The following is a 22,819-nucleotide window of genomic DNA, read 5'->3' on the forward strand; positions in this document are numbered from 1 at the left end:
GATAAGTTCCATCAATACCTAGCTTATTGAGAGATTTTAGAATGAAGGTGTGTTGAATTTTATCGAAGGCCTTTTTTGCGTCTATTGAGATTATCATGTGGTTTTTGTCATTGGTTCTGTTTATGTGATGGATTACATTTATTGATTTGAATATGTTGAACTAGCCTTGCATCCCAGAGGTGAAGCCGACTTGATCATGGTAGATAAGCTTTTTGATGTGCTGCTGGATTTGGTTTGCCAGTATTTTATTGAGGATTTTTTGCATCAATGTTCATCAGGAATATTGGCCTGAAATTTTCTTTTTTTGTTGTGTCTCTGCCAGGCTTTGGTATCAGGATGATGCTGGCCTCATAAAATGAGTTTGGGAGGAGTCCCTCTTTTTCTATTGTTTGGAATAGTTTTGGAAGGAATGGTACCAGCTCCTCTTTGTACCTCTGGTAGAATTCAGCTCTGAATCCGTCTGGTTCTGGACTTTATTTATTTGGTAGGCTATTAAGTACCGCCTCAATTTCAGACTTGTTATTGGTCTATTCAGGAATTGGACTTCTTTCTTGGGTTAGTCTTGGGAGGGTGTATGTGTTCAGGAATTTATCCAATTCTTCTAAATTTTCTAGTTTATTTGCATAGAGGTGTTTATAGTATTCTCTGTGGGTAGTTTGTATTTCTGTGGGATCAGTGGTGATCTCCCCTTTATCATTTTTTATTGTGTCTATTTGATTCTTCTCTTTTCTTCTTTATTAGTCTGGCTAGCGGTCTATCTATCTTGCTAATCTTTTTTAAAAAACCAGCTCTTGGATTCATTGATTTTTTTGAAGGGTTTTTTGTGTCTCTATCTCCTTCAACTCTGCTCTGATCTTAGTTATTTCTTGTCTTCTGCCAGCTTTTCAATTTGTTTGCTCTTGCTTCTCTAGTTCTTTTAATTGTGATGTTAGGGTGTTGATTTTAGTTATTTCCCACTTTCTCCTGTGGGCATTTAGTGCTATGAATTTCCCTCTAAACACTGCTTTAACTGTGCCCCAGAGATTCTGGTATGTTGTGTCTTTGTTCTCACTGGTTTCAAAGAACTTATTTATTTCTGCCTGAATTTCATTATTTACCCAGTAGTAATTAAGGAGTAGGTTGTTCAGTTTTCATGTAGTTGTGCAGTTTTGAGTAAGTTTCTTAATCCTGAGCTCTAATTTGATTGCACTGTGGTCTGAGAGACTGTTATAATTGCCTTCCTTTTGCATTTGCTGAGGAGTGTTTTACTTCCAATTATGTGGTCGATTTTAGAATAAGTGCAATGTGGTGCTGAGAAGAATGTATATTCTGTTGATTTGGGGTGGAGATTTCTGTAGATGTCTGCTGAGTCTGTCCGGCAGACTCTGCCAGAGCAAACAATGACAGAAGTCTGCTGACAGTGACATGGGTATTGTGCCTGACAGTGTGGCTAGGGGACCGCATGGCTTAGCACCACTGACAAGAGTGCAGCCTCGATAAGCTGGCAACACTTGCATTTATTTAGTCCAGATTTAATGACAAAGGCTTGGAGGAAACACAATTTGTGGTTAATTAACATTGTTGACCGCCCCCCCCCCCCCGAATAGAGAGCAGCCCTGTGCGTGCATGATCAAAGGTTGGTTTCTGGAGACATAACTAAACCAATTTATCTACATAAGTTCCTTTACATTCCCTTGTTATCTACCCTTTGCTCTCAGCTTCCAGATAACAGAATCAGCTGCCTTCAGCTTCTCTCCCAAAGCTTTTGCAAAATCTCCTGGCCTTCCAAGAAGGTTTGTGTCTTTCCTTATAATTTTTCCCACCACCCTGACCGATCTTCTACAGATATCTATTAGGTCGGCTTTGTCCAGAGCTGAGTTCAAATCCTGAATATCCTTGTTAATTTTCTGTCTTGTTCATCTAATATTGACAGTGGGGTGTTAAAGTCTCCCATTATTATTGTGTGGGAGTCTAAGTCTCTTTGTGGGTTTCTAAGAACTTGCTTTATGAATCTGGGTGCTCCTGTGTTGGGTGCATATATATTTAGGATAGTTAGCTCTTCTTGTTGCATTGATCCCTTTACCATTATGTAATGGCCTTCTTTGTCTTTTTTGATCTTTGTTGCTTTGAAGTTTGTTTTATTGGAGACTAGGATTGCAATTCCTGCTCTTTTTTTTTGTTTCTTTGCTTTCCATTTGCTTGGTAAATATTCCTACCTCCCTTTATTTTGAGCCTATGTGTGTCTTTGCACGTGAGATGGGTCCCCTGAATACAGGACACTGATGAATCTTGACTCTTTATCCAATTTGCCAGCCTGTGCCTTTTAATTGGGGCCTTTAGCCCATTTACAATTAAGGTTAATATTATTATGTGTGAATTTAATCCTGTCATTATGATGCTAGCTGGTTATTTCGCCCATTAGTTGATGTAGTTTCTTCATAGTGTCGATGGTCTTTACATTTTGGTTTGTTTTTCCAGATGCTGGTACTGGTTTTTCTTTTCCCTAGTTAGTGCAGGAGCTCTTGTAAGGCAGGCCTGGTGGTGACAAAATCTCTCAGCATTTGCTTGTCTATGAAGCGTTTTATTTCTCCTTCACTTACGAAGTTTAGCTTGGCTGGATATGAAACTCTGGGTTGAAAATTCTTTTCTTTAAGAATGTTGAATATTGGCCCCCACTACCTTTTGGCTTGTAGGGTTTCTGCTGAGAGATCCACTGTTTGTCTGATGGTCTTTCCTATGTGGGTAACTAGACCTTTCTCTCTGGCTGCCCTCAAAATGTTTTCCTTTACTTCAACCTTGGTGAATCTGATGATTATGAGTCTTGGGGTTGCCCTTCTCGAGGAGTATCTTTGTGGTGTTCTCTGTATTTCCTGAATTTGAATGTTGGCCTGTATTGCTAGGTTGGGGAAGTTGTCCTGGATAATACCCTGAAGTGTGTTTTCCAACTTGGTTCCATTCTCCCTGTCACTTTCAGGTACACCAGTCAAACATAAGTTTGGTCTTTTCACATAGTCCCATATTTCTTGGAGGCTTTGTTAGTTCCTTTGCATTCTTTTTTCTCTAATCTTGTCTTCGTGCTTTATTTCATTAAGTTGATCTTCAGTCTCTGATATCCTTTCTTCTGCTTGATTGATTTGGCTATTGATACTTGTGTATGCATCACGAAGTTCTCATGCTGTATTTTTCAGCTTCATCAAGTCATTTACATTCTTCTCTAAACTGGTTATTCTAGTTAGAAATTCCTCTAACCTTTTATCAAGGTTCTTAGCTTCTTTGCATTGGATAAGAACATGCTCCTTTAACTCGGAGGAGTTTGTTATTACCCACCTTCTGAAGCCTACTTCTGTCAATTTGTCAAACTCATTCTCCATCCAATTTTGTTCCCTTGCTGGCGAGGAGTTGTGATCCTCAGTTGGAAATGAAGAAATCACCCACCTCCTGCATTGGTCTTGCTGGGAGCTGCAGACTGGAGCTGTTCCTATTCAGCCATCTCGCCCGGGAAATCCTTATCCAAACTCTTTAACACAAAAGAGCAAAAGGAAAGCCTCCCAATCTGTTCTGTGCATCCAACATAACTCTGATATCAAATTACCATATTCTAACAAGAACCTTAAGAAAATAATATTATAAGCAATATTTTCCCTAAACATTAGCTACATATATATTATTAATGAAGTGAATCATATATAACCACAAATATTAACCTATTTATATAAAATCACATATATTAACATATATACAATATATTTTTTAAATTTTATGAATGTAAGATTAGTTTAACATGTGAGAATAAAAACAATGTAATTTACCACATTAACAGAATAAATTTTTAAATGATCATTTCAATAGATGGAATGAATAGCATTTTAAATAATTAAATTTGCATTTATGTTTAAAAAAATCAATTTCTCAGTAAGCGAGGAATACAGTGCACGAATACAATAGCACTTCCATAATTTGACAAAGTGTATTTACAAAAAAACGATTTCTATCATTATACTTAATGAGGAATTTTGAATGTTTTCTCCCTAAAACCTAGAAAAAGATCAACTTAATATCAACATAATTCTAACTGATAGGGTGTTAGAATTAGTCAATAAAAAAAAGAAAAAGAGATTGAACCATATGTTTTTGTACATAGAAAGCTCTCAAATAATCTACAAAGAAACCATTGAATTAGATACTGAATTTGGTAAGATTGATGGATACAAGTTAAAGTACAAAAATCAACTGTATTTCTACATACTTTAATAGCAAAATAGAAAATATATTCCTTCTTATAAAATAGCAAAAAACTATTGGAAAAATAAATTTACAAATAATATATTAGAATTTTTAAAACTCAGATATAATTTATTGAAAGATGTGCAAATTCTCTTTACTAAAAAATATAAAATACTTATAAGGATCTATATTTATTCATTTTGCCTGAAATTAGGCATGGGCTTTCTAGGGCAGGAACTGATTATTACAGTCATTTTTTGATATGCATAGACTACTGGTTCCAGGACTACTTGTGGAAATAAAAATTCATAGATGCCCATAAAATAGTATAGTATTTGCTTATCACCCATGCACATCCTCCCATATAAGTCATTAATAGATTACTTATAATACCTACTAAAATGTAAATGCTATATAAATAGTTATTATACTATTAGGTAATAATGACAAGAAACAATTCTGTGCATGTTCAATAAAGATGCTTTTTTAAAAAATATTTTTGATCTGCCATTGGCTGAATACATAGATTTGGAACTCTTGGATACAGAGGGTGTACTCTTTCTGCTCATAGCAATAACCACATGAACCCATTTGTCCCAATTACTTTTTCTTCGAGGAAGATGTGAAAAGAGTAAAGCAAATCAGTATTAGAGTCTATATTATTGGCTATAAGCTTTAAAAATTCCGTAGCTTATACAGGACAGGGACAGCTGTCCAGCTTTTCCTATTTAGGGTGGGAATGAAAGCCTTTGCTCCTTAATGTCAATATTCCTCAAAAAGAGAAAGGGAAAGATCCTGAGCTTTTACCTTTTGAAATGTAAATAAATGTCTTTGGGGGAAGATAAAACGAGCATCTATGTATTTATAACCAGGGGTTTTATCTCCATGGCCCAGGACTCAATCCCTTGAAATGAAAATACATACCTCTGTGAAGGTAAGTCTCTTGAATTCTCATTATTGATTCAATTATTATTTAACTGACAAGGCTTGTTTTTTAGCTCAGGTTTTGTTTTCTTTGCTTCAGAAAGCCCTAACCATACAAATCCCTAAAATACAAAAACATTTTAAAATTTCTCTATAGCTCCATAAATACTATCTAGATTTTTTTAATATCTAAATAAATATTCACAGATATTTATTTAGACTTTTTAAAGATCGTAGTTATTAGAAAAATTACCTACATATTTAACACAGTTGCAATCCAAATGCCAGAAGAAAATTCACAGAGGGAATTAGAAAGTTGATTTAAATGTATACAGAACCACAAAGATCTAGGATATTCAAGAAAATTTTGAAAATGACAAATGTATAGGACATATAGTACAGATTTTAAGACTTACTATAAAGCTGTAAGAATTAAGCAGTATAGTTTTAGTGCAAAGAATAGACAAAGAGTTCAATGGAACAGAAAAGTATAGGATAAAAGCATGTATGTATGACAAATTAAGACTAATTAATTTCACTTCAATTTCAAAAGCAAATAAATTGTCTTTCCAATAATATTGCTGGACCAATTGGATAGCCATATGGAGAAAGGAAGGAATTAACCCTGCTGATAGCATACTTAAAATATAATTTAGAATGGATGGTAAGAAAGGAAAAATAATTTTGTCTCTACACTTCATGGTAGTTTTTGGTCTGACAGACTCCTTTAACAAAAGACAGATTAACAAGAGAAAAACAAGCAGAAGTTTAATAACACATAAACCTTATGTATATGTTGGAGATACCCAGACAAATGAATACAGTTGTCCTCCTTTATCTGTGGTTTCCCTTTCTGAAGTTTCAATTAGCCATAGTCTACCATGGTCTGAAAATATTAAATGGAAATTTCCAGAAATGAAACAATTCATAAGTTTCAAGTTGCACACCTTTCTAAGTAGTGTGATGAAATTGCCAGACATCCTCCTCCAGCATGCCTGGGAAGTGAGTCATCCCTTTGTCTCCCATATCCAAATGGCCTTCACTATCCACACATTAGTCTCTTAGTAGCACCATCTTGGTTATCAGATCAACTGTCATGGTTTCACAGTGCTTGTGCTCAAGTGACCCTTATTTCACTCAATCATAACCCCAAATTGCAAGAGTAGTGATGCTGGCAATTCAGATATGCCACAGGAAAGCCATAAAGTGCCTTGTATAAGTGAAAAGGTGAAAGTTATTGACTTAATGAAAGAAAAAAAATTGTATGCTGAAGTTGCTAAGATCTACAGTAAGAATGAATCTTCTGTCTGTAAAATTGTGAACAGTATCTTGTTATAATTGTTCTGTTTCATTAGTCATTGCTGCTAATATTTTATTGCCTCATTTATGAGTTAAACTTTATCATGGATATGTATGTATAGGAAGAAACAGTGTATATGGTCTTCGGTATTACCCATGGTTTCAGACATCCACTGGGGGTCTTGGAATGTATCCCCCATGGATAGGGGGACTACTGTAAGTCTCAAAGAAGTGGCTTGGAATTCAGACTTAAATACCATCCTCACTGAAATAAAGCAAGAAGCTTGTGGGGGAAGGCCAGTTATGGAAAGGTATTCAATAAAAGCTTGGTAAGCAAGGTAAGGTTTGTTATGCAGATTTAAGTGAGTACTTTCTTTATTAATAAGTCTCTAGTGATGCAGTCATTTTTCTCTTCCTCATACAGAGAGGAGACACTCTTACAAAGAAATCTTCATTTCCTTTATAGATGTTAATTTCCCTTACAAAAGGATAACATCTACTCTGTTTTCAGAGTTTGTACTGTGACTATAGTTTCTGAAAATATTTAGCTCAAAAAAATTTTTATGCCAAAGAGGCATATTTTATGATGGCATATTCTGATCCCCTATAGGACCATGGACCTAAATTTAAAAGATAAAGTTTTTGGACTATATCATGGGAGAATACCTTCATAACATTGGGGTAAGCAAATATTTCTTAAACAAAGCACAAGAAAACAGGAAATTAATTTATCAGTATCATTAAATAGCCAATATTATTAGTCATCAAGGAAATGCAAATTAAAACCACAACATAACATTTCACACTCAATAGAATGGCTAAAATATAAAAAGACTATACCAAATGTTGGTGAGATGTGGAGCACTGGACTCATACATTGCTGATGAGAGGCAAGCTGCTATAACCATTTAAGAAAACTGGCAATGTCTTATAAAAATAAAACTCTATCTATCCTATCGTCTAACAGTTCTAGCCACAGATATTTACTCATGAAAAATAACTGCATATGTCCATGAAAATTCATGCACAAGAATGTCTGAAGCAATTTTGTTTATAATAAACTAAAACTGGAAGTAACACAAATGTCTATCAGTGAGTAAATATATTGTGAAAAATTTATATGGTAAAATATTACATAATGATATATAAAGAATAAACTATTGTTATACAGATATCATATCGAAGAAAAGATGCCAGACACAAAAGGCTACATGCAGTGTGATTCCATTTGCACGCAGTTCAAAAAACTTATAAAATGGATAGATGGTGATATATGTCAGAAAAATGCTTATCAAGGTGAGGATATTATCTAGGAAGGGATATGAGAAAAAATTATGGAATTTTCTATGTCTTCATCTAGTTGGTAGTTTCACAAGTGTATACATGTATTAATAAAATCAATTAACTCTTCATTTAAGATTATTTTATGCACCTGTAAATGAAAATAAAATTCTAACCCCCTCAATCAACTGAATGGACCCCTCTTCTCAGCCAAAGGCATTCTAAAGTAAACTTGAAACACTATTCAGGCCCTGATGGGAAAGGGAGTGTCAGATATGCCTCATTTTACCTTCCTCCTTTGGATTTCAGGCATGGCTGATCAGCATTAACATTCAAACAGACCTTAAGACTAACAAATCAGATTCTTTGTAGCAAGAAGATATCAACAATGACAGATAGCAAGCTCTGAAAGAAATTGAAATATTTCATCCCAAAATATATTTATTTGACATATTTTGAAATGGCCCCACAAAGTTGTCTCTTGTGGGGAAAATCTATATTCTGTAGAGAATCCCCTTCCCTTAGAGAATTAACTGTTTGGCATCTTTTTATGTCTGATAAGAAACATTTACAATCTTCTCTCTGAAGCCTGCTACCTGGAGGCTTCATCTGCGTAATAAGGACCTTGGTCTCCACAACCCCTTGTCTTAACCCAGACACTCCCTTCCATTCATTCCTGGTCATTAGATAAACTCTTTCAACCAACTGCCAATCAAAAAATCTTTCAGCCTACCTATGACCTGGAAGTACTTGCTTCGAGTTTCTCTGCCTTTCTGGACCAAACCAATGTTCATCTTACATGTATTGATTGATGTCTTATGTCTCCCTAAAATGTACAAAACCAACCACCTTGGGTACATGTTCTCAGGATGTGGGGCTGTGTCATGGGCCATTAGTCACTCACAGTAGGCTCAAAATAAATGTCTTCAAAAATTTTACAGAGCTTGACTCTTTTTGTTGACAACCTTATTGAATATAAGAAACAAGTCCAATGTAAAAAAATGAGGAGTATTTTTATCAGCTGAGAAGTGTGTTAGCTTTTTTTTCCCAAGCATGTTTTGTGTGAGACATGAAAGGATTCTCAGAAGAAATAAATTTGATTCTCATTATTTACAGTATTCATGTTCTATAAAGCCACTGTGAATTACCACATTAGCAAATACTGAACAATTGTTCCTAGGGGAAACACAAGTTTAGGTTCCTGCTAGCATCTGGTCACAACATTTTTGTCAACTGATTAATACCCAACTGTCATCCAAAAGACCACCAGAATGACTAAATAATAGAAAGGAGAGTATTATTGGAAGTATCAGTTTGCAAACCAGGAAGAGATCATCACTGGTGTGTGCAGAAAGTGCTCTCTCTACAAAGACGGGGGAAAAGGCTAGGTTTTATTCCTCACAGGGCCTGTTTCACACACTAGAGTCATATATAGTAAGCAGATTTTAGGGTAAAGCTATAGGTATTTATGAGGGGAGTCAAGTGCATGTGCAATGGGTAAACATATGTGTAACATACATCCCATGTTCATTTGGGGGCAGGATTTTAGCATTAAAATGAGATGGAAGTTGGCTCTTTACATCAAAAATGAACTATAGGATACAAAGACAGTTTGTGCACAGCTGCTATAAGCTGGCTAAAACTGGCTTGAGATCTGCAATTGCTTATTAGAAAAGAATGTTTGTAAGGTTGGTCGTCTGTCCAACCAGAGTTGTAGTGGTCTGGGTTGCAAAGCAGAGTTAGAAGGGGTCCAACAGGTCCTACTGTAGGGAATTTAGAGCCATAGGAATTTAGAAATTTGCCATTCCAGCTGGGCCCTGAATCCTTGACTCATAAGTAACTTTGTTTTCATAACCTTAACTTTAGGGTTTATCTTAGTTGATAAGGGGGTACCTATTGTGGTCTCTCAGATCACATCATCTTGTTTCATGCGTTCTTGTATGTTGTTGATACATTAACATTAAACTCACAGCTAATAACAGTATAACTCATGCCTGAACAAAGCTTATCTGATGGTACATTTTCTCCGCGAGGCACATCACAGCCTTCTTGTGCTTAGGAATAGTAGACAGCACTTCAACACTATGCCATTTAGGGGCGATTCTGAACAGCAGAATCGCCAATAAACATCATAAAAAAGCAAAAACTATGGCACTAAATGAAAAGGACAGTGTGAGAGCCCAAACAAGAAAGCAAAGCCTCACCTTGTTTGATCTCAGCTCTGAACATGAATGTCAGGCAACTCAAATTTTTCACCATTCCATGTATGTCTGTGAATAATCCTGAAAATGCCACAAGTATTGATTTTAGTGTTAAAAATAAATTTTATTGAATAGGCAAATTTGCAAATACAAAATCCATGAATAGTGAGGATTGAGTATAACTAGCAGGCTATTGGACACGAATCTTTCACCAATTCTCAAGTTCAAGAATAATGTCCCTTACAGTTTTAAAGAGCTTTAAATCAACAATAAATGCCTCAATAGGGAGATGACATATATGAGTTCTACACATAATCACTGGACAAACCAATATCCCATCCAACCAAAAATGGGCTTTTTTGTTAAGGATTAAGGATATGTGACTATGTTTATGAAGAATATTGATCTGTAGTTTGCCTGTAATGTTTTTGTCTGGTTTTGGTACAAGAACAATGCTAGCCTCATAAAATGAGTTGATGAGAGCTCCCTCCTCTATTTTCTGAAAGAGATTTCTAGGATTAGAGTTATTGTTCCATTAAATATTAATTATATTTGCCATTGAAGCCCTCTGAGCCTGGCGTTTTCTTTGTGGGAAGGGTCTTATCACAAATTCAATTTATTTAGAAGGTACAAGGACAATCAGATTGTCTATTTCTTCTCAAGTCAGATTTGATATTTTATGTATTTCAACGCACTTACCCATTTAAGTTGATGAATTTATTGGCATAAAGTTGTTTGTATTATTCCCTTATTATTCTTCAAATATCTGTAATATATTCAGGTAATGTCCCCTCTTTCATTCCTAATATTGGTAATTTTTTCTGTTTTTTCAGATCAGTATGAATAGAATTCTATCAATTTTATTGTTCTTTTCAAAAAGACCTTTTGCTTTTACTTTCTCTATTATTTGTCTGTGTTGTATTTCATGGATTTCTGCTGTGAGCTTTACTATTGTATTTTTTTTTTTTTTTTGAGACAGAGTGTCCCTCTGTCACCCAGGCTGGAGTGCAGTGGCGCAATCTTGGCTCGCTACAACCTCTGTCTCCCTGGTTCAAGTGACTTACCTGCCTCAGCCTCCTGAGTAGCTGGGATTACAGGCACCCGCAACCACACCTGACTAATTTTTGTGTTTTTAGTAGAGATGAGGTTTCACTATGTTAGCCATGCTGGTCTCGAACTCCTGACCTCAAGTGACCTGCCTGCCTAAGCCTCCCAAAGTGCTGGGATTACAGGTGTGAGCCACTGTGTCTGGCCTACTATTGCCTTTTGTCTACATATTATGACTAATTTGCTTGTCTTTTTCTGGTTTCATAAGGTAAGAAATATAAGTTTCTTGACATTAAACCTATCACTTAGAAATGCTACTTTAATCGTACCTCCCAATTTTTAATACGTTATATTTAAATTTTCATTTAGTTGAAAATATTACCCTATGATTTCCTTTTTGACTCATGAATCATTTTGAAGAGTATTGATTTCCACATATTTAGGAATTATCCATGTATCTTTCTGTTACTGATTTTCAATTTAATTCTGTTATGATCAGAAGACATGCTCTGTGTGATTTCTTTCTTTAGAAATCCACTGAAACTTCAAGTTTTGTGGCCCAGCACATGGTGAATTTTCTATGTGTATATGAAGAAGAGTATATGTTCTGCCGTTGTTTGGGAGAATGCTAATAAGTTTGACAGTATTGTTTGTCTTCTATATCCTCTTTGATTGTCTATTTACTTGTTCAGTCAGTTAATGAGAGTATTAAAACTTCTAACAAAATTATAGATTTCTGTATTCTGCCTTTCAATGTTGTCATTTCTTTACTTCTTATGTTTTGAAACTTTGATATTCATTGCATATACATTTAATATTCTTATGTCTTCTTGGTGAATTTGCTCACTTACCATTATTACATGGTATATGCTATATTAAATTTGCTTTACTTATGAACACCCAAGTAATTTAAAAGCCAAAGGTTGGCATAAGATAGAACATGCAAAGAATAAACATCAGAAATCTAGAGTAGTTATGGCAATTTCAGGCAAAATAGACCTCATAACAGAGAATATTATCAGAAATATCAAAATGTTGAAATTTATTTTAGCTCTTTAAAGACGTCATTCCATTATCTTCTTGTCTCCATTTTTTTGAGAAGCCAACCAACCATTTCCTATCACTGTAATGTGTATGTAATGTATCTCTTTTTCTTTGGCTGCCTTTAAACTTTCTAACTCTTGGTGTGTCCAGGTATAGCATTCTTTGCATTCATTCTGTTTAATGCTTAGTCAGCTTTTTGCATCTGTGAGTTGATGTTTTAAACTAATTGGAAAAACGTTACGTTAGTTACTCTTTGAAACTTTTTGTTTCTATTTTCTGTCTTTTTTCTTTCTGGGACTTAAACTATATGTGTTTATTATGTAATATGGTAGTACGGGTCACTGAGGATCTTTAATTTTCTCTTTTTTTTCTTTTTTGTTTCACTTTGAAAAATTCTATTGACCTATCTTTATGGAAATGGATTTTTTTCTTTGAATTTTTTAAAAGGTTGGTTTTATTCAGCTATGTTTTTATTTCAGATACTATATTTTTAATTTCCACTTGATTCTTTTTGAATTTTATATATTTCCAAAGATATCCTGTATCCTCGTCTATTATATCCACCTTCTCTGCAAATTTGTTAAAACAACTGTAACATTCCTACTTTAAAATCTTCTGTTAGTTTCAATATCTGGGTCCTCTGTGGGTCTGTTTCTATTGACTATTATTTTTTCTTCTCACTATGTGTCCAAAGACTAGTAAGTTTTAAATTCTGAAGTATACATTATAGAACATGCTATAGATATTCTAGATTTTATCTTCCTCTGAAAAGTTCTGGGGTCTATTCTCGCGTGCAGTTATATTAAGACTGATCATCTTAATTCTGTTGAAGTTTGATTTTAGACTTTGTTAGGGAGGGTCTGTTTCCATTTTTCCCTTAGTGCTAATGTATAAACCTTATGTTTAGAATGTGGTCCTTATTCCTAAGGGTGACTGTGGTTTCAATGGAAAAATCAAGGTGTTTTCCGAATCCTTCTAACATGATAGAACAATTCCAAACTCTGTCTCTCCAGCACTGGGAAATTTCCAAAATCTCTGACCAGCTCTTTCAGGCTTCCATTTTTTTATTTCTATTGGAAGTATCACTCCAGAAGTGTTGTTATGACCGTACAAATTTCAGGTTTCATCCAAGGATTTGAAACTGTATGCAAATTTGGAGGTCCCCTGTTCTTCTCTGAGCTATCCCATTCAATTTCCAGCTTTTCTGCCACCCCCAAATCCTGACTTTTAACTCATCAGCTCAATAAAACTGCAACTTTCTGCTTAAGCTCCATTGCCCATGTGCAAGACAGACTAGGAGTTATGGTCAGCAGAATAGTAGAACAAATGTGGTTTTCACTTAGTATGCCTCCCTTCTTTCAATGGTCACTCACCAATGCATTCAAAAATTGCTTTTTACATTTAGTCCGAAGTTTATACTTGTTGTAATCAGGAAGACTAGTCCACTATAGCCACCTTACCATTACTAGAGGTCAAAAACTTCTAGTACTTTATTTCTATTATGTTTTACAAAAGTATTGGTCTATGATTGGGTAGAAATTTTAAAAATCCTGATCATTACAACAAATAGTTTGAGAAATCCTGCTTTTCTACTCCCCATAGGCAATTATTTCCAGATCCAACTAGTTCCTACTGTCAGATATCATTGCATCTGCATATCAGAGACCCTGAGAACAAAGAATATGGACTTCTCTCCAGCTTACACAAATAGGTTACATGACTGTTTTTGTGTCTGCTTGTTAATAAATGTTTTTAAGTTTGTTGGGATTTTGTCTGAGACTTACTTTCATTGTGATGCATTTTCCAGTAGCAAGTTTGTAGAGGAGAAGAAATATATCACCCATTTATCTAGATCAGGGTCTCAAATAGAATAGATGTTAATAAATATTTGAAAATGAATCAATATTTTTCTAAAAGGTACACTTCACTTCTCTGCCTTAACTAAAACCTAGTTCTCTCTAGCTTCATCCACTGTTCTACCAAGTAGAGACTTTTTTTTCTCCTCTCACATCTCATTTAACTCAGGGTAGGGAGAAGTCATCCCTGAGCTTTATCACCACTGTGAACACAGGCAGTTCCTTTGAAGCTACAATATTTACCTTCTCATTGTCTTCCAAGACTTACCACCTGTACCTCTTTCCTCATTTCTGCTGCTTGATCTGTAGACAGCGCTAAGTCTGTGAAGACCAGGAAATTAGTCACAGGCATTCTCTAAACTTTAATAAAAGAAATTCAAGGGGATGATGTATCAGCTTCATTGTTTTTGCTTTTCTCCCCCAATTCAAGAAGCTTGAACTCACTCAGCATGACTAAGTTTTTGTTTCATCCCTCCAAAGAGGAAAAATTCTACTAGTACGTCTGTCCTAAATGTCAAGAAGATGTCGAAAGTCCAGATTTTATTTCTTCCTTTTCATCGTCCCTGAATTACTAACATGAAGGTATTGTTTTACTGCTCATTTTCTTATATCTTATTATCAAGCGTATGGTGAAAAGTTGTGGAGGTAGAGACCCACAAGCAACTCCGGACTTTGTGAGACTCAGTTGTTTCTAGACATTTGGGCACATATATCTGAAAGAAGTGCCATTCCACATGCCTATTTTTTTATTTTTTGTTTTTTGAGACAAGATCTCTCTCTGTCACCCAGGCTGGAGAGCAGTGGCACCATCAGGGCTCAGTGCAGCCTTGACCTTCTGGACTCAAGCAATCCTCCCACCTCAGCCTCCCAAGTAGCTGGGACTACAGGCATGTCCCACCATGCCAACACATGCCTAATTTTTAAAAATTGACGATGTTGAAAAAATCAAAGTATCAAAGAAAAAGTTCCTCATCCGTCCATTTCTATATTTCCATCCATTTTCTTTTTCTATCTTTCTCCCCTGTTAAAACTAATTAACTTTTCTAAGACTTCATGGGCAACCTCCATTCATGCTCAAATTTACATACACCCTTGCCTTTCCTTCTTCAGTTACAGGCCATTTTCTCCATGGTATATCTTCATTCTCTCCCTCATTACTCATTCTACTTGGATTTGTCAGGGAAAAACACCATATTAGCTGAAATATGAAGAATTAGTTGGTCTTCTGTGAATGAGGAAGGCAACAAAAGGGTGATCGAAGAAAAAGAACAGCATATATATATAGAAAGAACATAAAAGACATTATTTATATTTGGGGAAATAAATTATAATCTATTGTGCTAAGAATATGGAGTGGGTAGGTTATCCAATGTGTTGGCACACAAATTCATAGTACTTTTGTTCATAGTACATTTTTATAATTCTTTTTGATTCTGTAAATTCAGTAGTAATATTCCCTCTCGCATTTCTAATTTTAGTCTTCTCGTGTTTTTTTCGTAGTCAGTCTAGCTAAAGGTTTCTTAATTTTGTTTATATTTTTAAAGAACCAGCTCTTGGTTTTATTAATTTTGTTTCTTATTTTCTATTTTATCTATTTCTACTCTATTATTTTCTTCTTTCTGCTAGCTTTGGATTTAATTTGAAAATTTTTCCTAGTTTCTTAAGGGTGTAAAGCTAGATTGTCGATTTGAGACATTTTTAATGTAAACATTTGTAACTATATATTTCTCTCAGCGCTGCTTTCACTGCATTCTATAAATTATGGTGTGCTATGTTTTCACTTTCACTTGTCACAAAATATTTTCTGATTTCCCTGCCTATTAATTTTTTGATGCATTGGTTATTTTAGAGTGTTTTATAATTTCCACATATTCGTGAATTTTCCAGTTTTCCCTCTGCTATTGATCTCTTGCTTCATTCCATTGTGATAGAAAAAGGTACTTTGCATGATTTTCATGTTTAAAATGTATTAGGGAGCAAAATCAACATGTAACTCAGAGCAGCAGTCACCGAAATGTCCCTGGCCAGCATCCTTCCACCTGTCCACAAGCATGGGGAGCATCTTTGTCAACCTCTTCGAAAGCATTTTTGGCAAAAAAGAAATGCACATCCTCATCGTGGTCCTCAGTGCTGCAGGGAAAACAACAATCCTATATAAGCTGAAGCTGAGTGACATCATGACCACCATCCCTACCATAGGCTTCAATGTGGAAACCATGGAGTACAGGAACATCAGCTTAACCATGTGGAACATGGGCAGCCAAGAAAACATCTGGCCTCTGTGGCACCACTACTTCCAGAATACACAAGGACTGATCTTCGTAGTGGACAGCAATGATAGAAAGTGTGGAAAGGAGGCCTGGGAGGAGCTCTTTAGGATGCTGGCTGAGGATGAGCTCTGGGTGCAGTCCTCCTGGTGTTTGCCAACAAGCAGGGCCTCCCCAATGCCAGGAATGCAGCCAAGATCACAGACAAGCTGGGGCTGCATTACCTGTGCCACAGGAACTGGTGCATTTAGGCCACCTATGCCATTAGTGGAGACAGGCTCTGTGAAGGACTGGACTGGCTGTCCAATCAACTCTGGAACCAGAAGTGAATGCAACACCCTCTCGCTCTCATTGCTCCTCTTCCCCTTCACTTTATCCTCATGTGGCAAATGTGCAGCTCTGTGGTGTGAGTGCCAGAACCTGCTTCCCTGGTTTGGTCACCATGTGCATCATACTGTGCTGTAAATGTGACAGACATAGCCTGTGGCCAGACTTTTTATTTAATGTAAATAGTTCTTGTTTCCAGTGAGGCAGTTTCTGCTACTCCTATGCAATATTACTCAGGTTTTTTGTTTGTTTGTTTTACCGTAAAAAGAAAAATCAACTCATTCTTCAGTGCTGAGAGGGGACATAGGCTCATGGGTACCTGGCCTCTGAGAGTCACCAATTTGGGAGAGCTGGGGATGCCTCTAACTTCAGAGCTGTGTTGATACCCATTTTGGTGGTTGGTTTTTAACCCAAACGCGGTGCATTTTTAAAAATAGTTTAGAATCAACGTCAAGAACACTTGAACACACAAAAGAGAGACTTTGCTTAGCATGGGTTTGCAGTTATGGCCTGGATGCTAGTCACCGGCTTGGCTATTCCCCTCAGGAACATCAGGTGGTGGCACAGCAAGACTGCCATCAATTCTGCATGGTCACAATAGAGATGTCTGTGACACACTTGTCCTTAGATCACCCTGCATCTCATAGCCTTGTGCTTGTCCCTGTGCTCCCATGGTTCTTGAGGGCTAGTCTTAGAGCCCATGGCTGTCTCATTCTCCCCCAGGCCACCTCCCTACCCACCTGCCTGCCTCAGCCTCCTCAGAGGATGTAGGGCCCTACTATCCCTTGGTCAGCATGTGGCCAGAGCAGGCCCATGGTCTTCAGCTCTTGTGCTCGTTGAGGCACATTGGTAGGATATCTGGGGCCTCATCAGTGTTAATGAGAGCAAGGCAAGTGGACTGTGCACCTACACCCACAGCCCCTCAGGAGCACCCCATCTCCATATATGTCTTACCTGTCTCTCACTCAGACTGCAAGCATCCAAGTTGCCATAAAAAAAGACGGCCTTGCGCTGGGCGCGGTGGCTCATGCCTGTAATCCCAACACTTCAGGAGGCTGAGGCGGGCAGATCACAAGGTCAGGAGTTCAAGACCAGCCTGGCCAACATGGTGAAACCCTGTCTCTACTAAAAAATACAAAAAAATTAGCTGGGCATGGTGTCAGGTGCCTGTAATCCCAGCTCCTCGGGGGCTGAGGCAGAGAATTGCTTGAACCTGGGAGGTGGAGGTTGCAGTGAGGTGAGATCACACCACTACACTCCAGACTGGGCGACAGAGCGAGACTCTCTCAAAAAAAAAAAGATAGCCTTGACCGGGTGTGGGGGCTCATGCCTGTAATCCCAGCACTTTGGGAGGCCAAGGTGGGTGGATCACCTGAGGTCAGGAGTTCAAGACCAGCCTGACCAACATGGCAAAATACAATACAAAATTACAAAAATACGAAAATTAGCCAGGAGTGGTGGCGGGTCCCTGTAATCCCAGCTCTCAGGAGGCTGAGGCATGAAAATCTCTTGAACCCAGGAGGCGGAGGTTGCAGTGAGCTGAGATCGTGCCACTGCACTCCAGCCTGGGTGACAGAGTGAGTGACTGAGACTCTATCTCAAAAAAAAAGAAAAAGAAAAAGAAAAAAAGATGACCTCGATTTTTTTATTTTGTATTTTGATAAACACTAAAGAAGCTGGAGCTGTGAAATTTGTCTTGGGGAAAATCTCAGAACTGGTCTATCTGGTGTTGTGGAACCTTTTACTGTTTTCAGTACACAATTAGGAATCAACTGTTTTGTATACTTGTTTTCAGTTTTCATTTAGACAAACAAGCATTGTAATTATTGATATTAGAATAAAACCTCTTAACTATTAAAAATAAATCAATCAATTTTAGAAAGTGTATAAAGATTTGGTTTTTGGCCTAACATATGATTTATCCTTTAGAATGTTCCATGTGTACTTGGCAAAATTATTTTGTGCTGTTTTTGGTCCCATTAGACTATAGGGTTGTTCAATTCTTGTATTTCCTTATAGATCTTCTATCTGGTTGTTCTATCTACTATTGAAAGTGAGATATTAAAATCTCCTACTATTCAAGAGCTATTTTTCCCTTCAGTTCAGTCAATGCATGCTTCATATATTTTGGAACACTGATGTTGGGTGAATATATGTTTATTTTATTGTTACATCTTCTTACTGTATTGAAACTTCTATCATTATGAAATGACCATTTTTGTCTGAAGAATTTCTGACTTAAAGTCTATTTTACCTAATATTAATATAACAACCTCTACTCCTTTTTGGTGACTATAATATCTTTTCCATCCTTTCAATTTTAGCCTATCCATGTCTTTTGGTCTAAAATGAGTCTCTTATAAACAGCACAGAATTTGATCCTGTTTTTTAAAATCCGTTCTGCCACTATCTTTTGATTGAAGAATTTAATCTATTTACATTTAAAGTGATTACTGACAGGCACCTACTTTTATCATTTTGTTATTTGTTTTCTGTATGTTTTATACATTTTCATAACTCATTTCCTCTCTTACTGCCTTCCTTTATATTTAATTGATTTGTAATGACATGTTTCAACTTCATTCTCATTTCTTTTTCTGTGTACTCTATGAATATTTTCTTTGTAATTACCATGAGGATTACATATAACATCCTAAATTATGAAAATCTATCTTAAATTGATACCAAATTTATTTTAATCGAAAAAACTGTGTTATTTATAGCTCTGTCCCCTCTACTTATGTTATTACTATCAAAAATTTTATCTTTGTATTTTGTATACCCATTAAAATAGATTTTATAATTATGTTTTATGCACTTCTCTTTTTTTTAAGTTCAGGGTACATGTGAAGGTTTGTTACATAGGTAAACTTGTATTATGGGGATTTATTGTACAGCTTATTTCATCACACAGGTATTAAGTCTAGTACCCATTAGTTATTTTTCCTGATTGTCTCCCTCCTCCCACCCTCCACCCCATAATAAGCCCCAGTGTGTGTTGTTCCCCTCTGTGTCCATATGTTCTCATCATTTAGCTGCCATGCATAAGTGAGAACACATGGTATTTCGTTTTCTGTTGATGTATTAGTTTGCTGAGGATAATAGCCTCCAGCTCCATCCATATTCTCTCAAAAGACACGATCTTGTTCTTTTCCATGGCTGCATAGTATTCCATGGTGTATACATACCACATTTTCTTTATTCAGTCTACCATTGATGGGCATATAGGTTGATTCCATGCGTTTGCTATTGTGAGTAGAGCTACAATGACCATTCATGTGCATGTGCCTTTATGGTAGAATGATTTATATTCATCTGGGTCACTGGGTCGAATAGTAGTTCTGCCTTTAGCTCTCTGAGGAATCACCTTACTGCTTTCCACAATGGTTGAATTAATTTACATTCACACCAACAGTGGATAAGTGTTCCCTTTCTCTCCAGCCTCATCAGCATCATCAGTTACTTTTAGACTCTTTAATAATAGCCATTCTGACTGGTGTGAGATGGTATCTCATTGGAGTTTTCGTTTGCATTTCTCTAATGATCAGTGATACTGAGCTTTTTTCATTTGCTTGTTGGCTGCATGTATGTCTACTTTTGAAAAGTGTTCATGTCCTTTGCCCACTTTTTAATGGGGTTGTTTTTCTCTTGTAAATTTAAGTTCCTTATAGATGCTTGACATTAGACCTTTTTCAGATGCATAGTTTGCAAATTTTTCTCCCACTCTGTACGTTGTCTGTTTATTCTGTTGATAGTTTATTTTGCTGTGCAGAAGCTCTTAAGTTTAGTTAGAGCCCACTTGTCAATTTTTGCTTTTGTTGCAATTGCTTTTGGTATCTTTGTCATGAAATCTTTGCCCATTCCTCTGTCCAGAATGGTACTGCCTAGGTTGTTTTCCAGGGTTCTTATAGTTTTGGGTTTTACATTTAAATATTTAATCCATCTTGAGTTAAATTTTTGTATATGTTGTAAGGAAGGTGTCCAGCATCAATCTGCTGCATATGGCTAGCCAGTTATCCCAACACCATTTATTGAGTAAGGAGTGTTTTCCCCCTTGTTTGTTTCTGTCAGCTTTGTTGAAGATCAGAGAGTCATAGGTATGTGCACTTATCTTTTAAATCTTATAGAATAAAAGTGGATTACAATACAAAATTACAATAATACTGTTTTTTATCTTTGTCCATGTATGTACCTTTACCAGAAAACTTTATATTTATATATGGCTTTAAATTACCATCTAGTGTCCTTTAATTTCCACTTGAAGTACCCTCTTTAGCATTCCTTGTATGGTAGGTCTAGTGATAATGAGCTCCAGTACCTTTTGATTGTCTGAATATATCCTAATTTCTCCCTCATTTTTGCAAGATATAAAATTCTTGACTGACAATTTTTTTTCTTTCAGGACTTTAAAAATACTACCCTACCACACTCTAGCCTGCGAGAGTTCTGCTAAGAAATCTACTGATTGTCTTATTAGAGACCCCTTGTATGTGATAAGTCACTTTTTTCCTGCTCCTTTCAGGATTATTTCCTTGTCTTTCACTTTTGTGTGTGTGTGTGTGGTAAAATACACATAACATCTTAATCATTTGAAGTGTACAGTTCACTGGTATTAAATATATTCATAATGCTGCGCAACCGTCACCACCATTCATCTCTGTAACTCTTTTCATCTTGTAAAACTAATATTCATACTATTAAACAATAACTCCACATTCCCCTCTCCCTTAAATCCCTGACAACAACCATTATACTTTCTATCTATATAATATTGACTACTTTAAGTAACTCATATAAGTGGACTCATACAGTATTTGTCTTTTTGTGATTGGTTTATTTCACTTAGAATAATGTCTTCAAGATTCATCCATGTTGTAGCATGTGTCAGCAATTCCTTCTCTTTGAAGAGTACATAGTATTCTGGTGTGTGTATATATACATTTTGCTTATTTATTCATCTGGCAATGGACTCTTGAGTTGTTTCCATGTTTTAGCTATTGTGAATAATGCTGCTATGAACATGAGTGTACAAACATCTCTTTAAGAACCTGTTTTCAATTGTAATTATATTCTAATATCAGAAAAAATAGACTTTAAGTAAAAAATTTAAAAAGGTTATAAGAGACAAAGAAGGATCTATAAATCCAAAGAATATATATAGGATATATATATGATCCATATATTATATATAGGATATATATATGATCCATATATTATATATAGGATATATATATGATCCATATATTATATATAGGATATATATATGATCCATATATTATATATAGGATATATATATGATCCATATATTATATATAGGATATATATATGATCCATATATTATATATAGGATTTATATATATCCTTCTTTGTCTCTTATACATAATATATATTTATATGTGTGTGTGTGTGTGTGTGTGTGTGTGTGTGTCTTGCTCTGTCACCCAGGCTGGAGTACAGACACATAAGGTCTTGCTCTGTCACCCAGGCTGGAGTACAGAGATATAATCATGATTTACTGCAGCCACAACCTCCTGGGTTCAAGCAATCTTCTCACCTCAGCCTCCCAAGTAGTGGGGACTACAGACAAACATCATCACACCCAGCTAATTTTACCCTGCAGGACACTTTTAAGCATTACCTGTAGGAAAGGTCTAGTGGTAATGAACTCCCCCAACTTTTGTTTAATTTCTCAGTCATTTTTTTTCCTTTGTATGAGTCATACCTTCCTGTTTATTCGTATGTCATGTGTTTGTTTGTTTTTGTCAAAAACTAGACATTTGAATCTAATATTGTTGTAAATCTAGAAATCAGATTCTCCCCCTTAGCCAGGTTTTGCTGGTTTTTTTTTTTAATTGTATTTGCTTGTTGTGGTTTTCTTTTTAATTGTAATAGGCTGTCTCTGTGCCAAGGATCAGCCTAAGGTATAAACTTAAGGTCTTCTCACAACTTTTCTGATCCTGTGTCTTTCCCTGGGCATATATGATCACCTTTTAATTTTCCCCATATGTGCAGTTGTTTCTGTGTGTCCTAGTTTTTAAAGTCTGGCTTCCAAAAGGGGAAAATGAGAAAACTTTGATGAAAAAAGAAAAATGTCACTGGCCCTTAATATCCCCTGGAAGTCACTTCAGTTGGAGAGGAAGGGCTGGCAACAATTAGGGAAGGTGTAACAGCAATGGCTGCCTAACTCTTTGCACCTCTAAGCTCAGAAGCATCCATCAATAATCAGAACACAGATCACTGATATCTGGGGGACAGAGTTATTTTTGCCAACCTTGCCTCCTATAAACTGTATGCAAGTTGCTCCAGGGAAACATGCACAACTGCCTGCTACGGGCTATGTGTAGAGGATGCTAATTGCTGCTGTGCTAAG

At 36.1% G+C, this 22,819-nt stretch overlaps 1 pseudogene, besides 1 other annotated feature; it reads left to right on the forward strand.

Moving 5' to 3' along the window:
• Window positions 5,978–6,272: an enhancer, noted in NCBI's record as "tiled region #3394; HepG2 Activating DNase matched - State 9:DNaseU, and K562 Activating non-DNase unmatched - State 24:Quies". NCBI's record gives its function as "activates a minimal TATA promoter and a strong SV40 promoter by Sharpr-MPRA in HepG2 and K562 cells {active_cell/tissue: HepG2 | K562}" and the evidence as "EXISTENCE:reporter gene assay evidence [ECO:0000049][PMID:27701403]".
• ARF1P1 (ARF GTPase 1 pseudogene 1) lies at window positions 15,828–18,305 on the forward strand (annotated as a pseudogene).

This window comes from Homo sapiens, chromosome 7 (assembly GCF_000001405.40).
Source record: "Homo sapiens chromosome 7, GRCh38.p14 Primary Assembly".
NCBI lineage: Eukaryota > Metazoa > Chordata > Mammalia > Primates > Hominidae > Homo > Homo sapiens.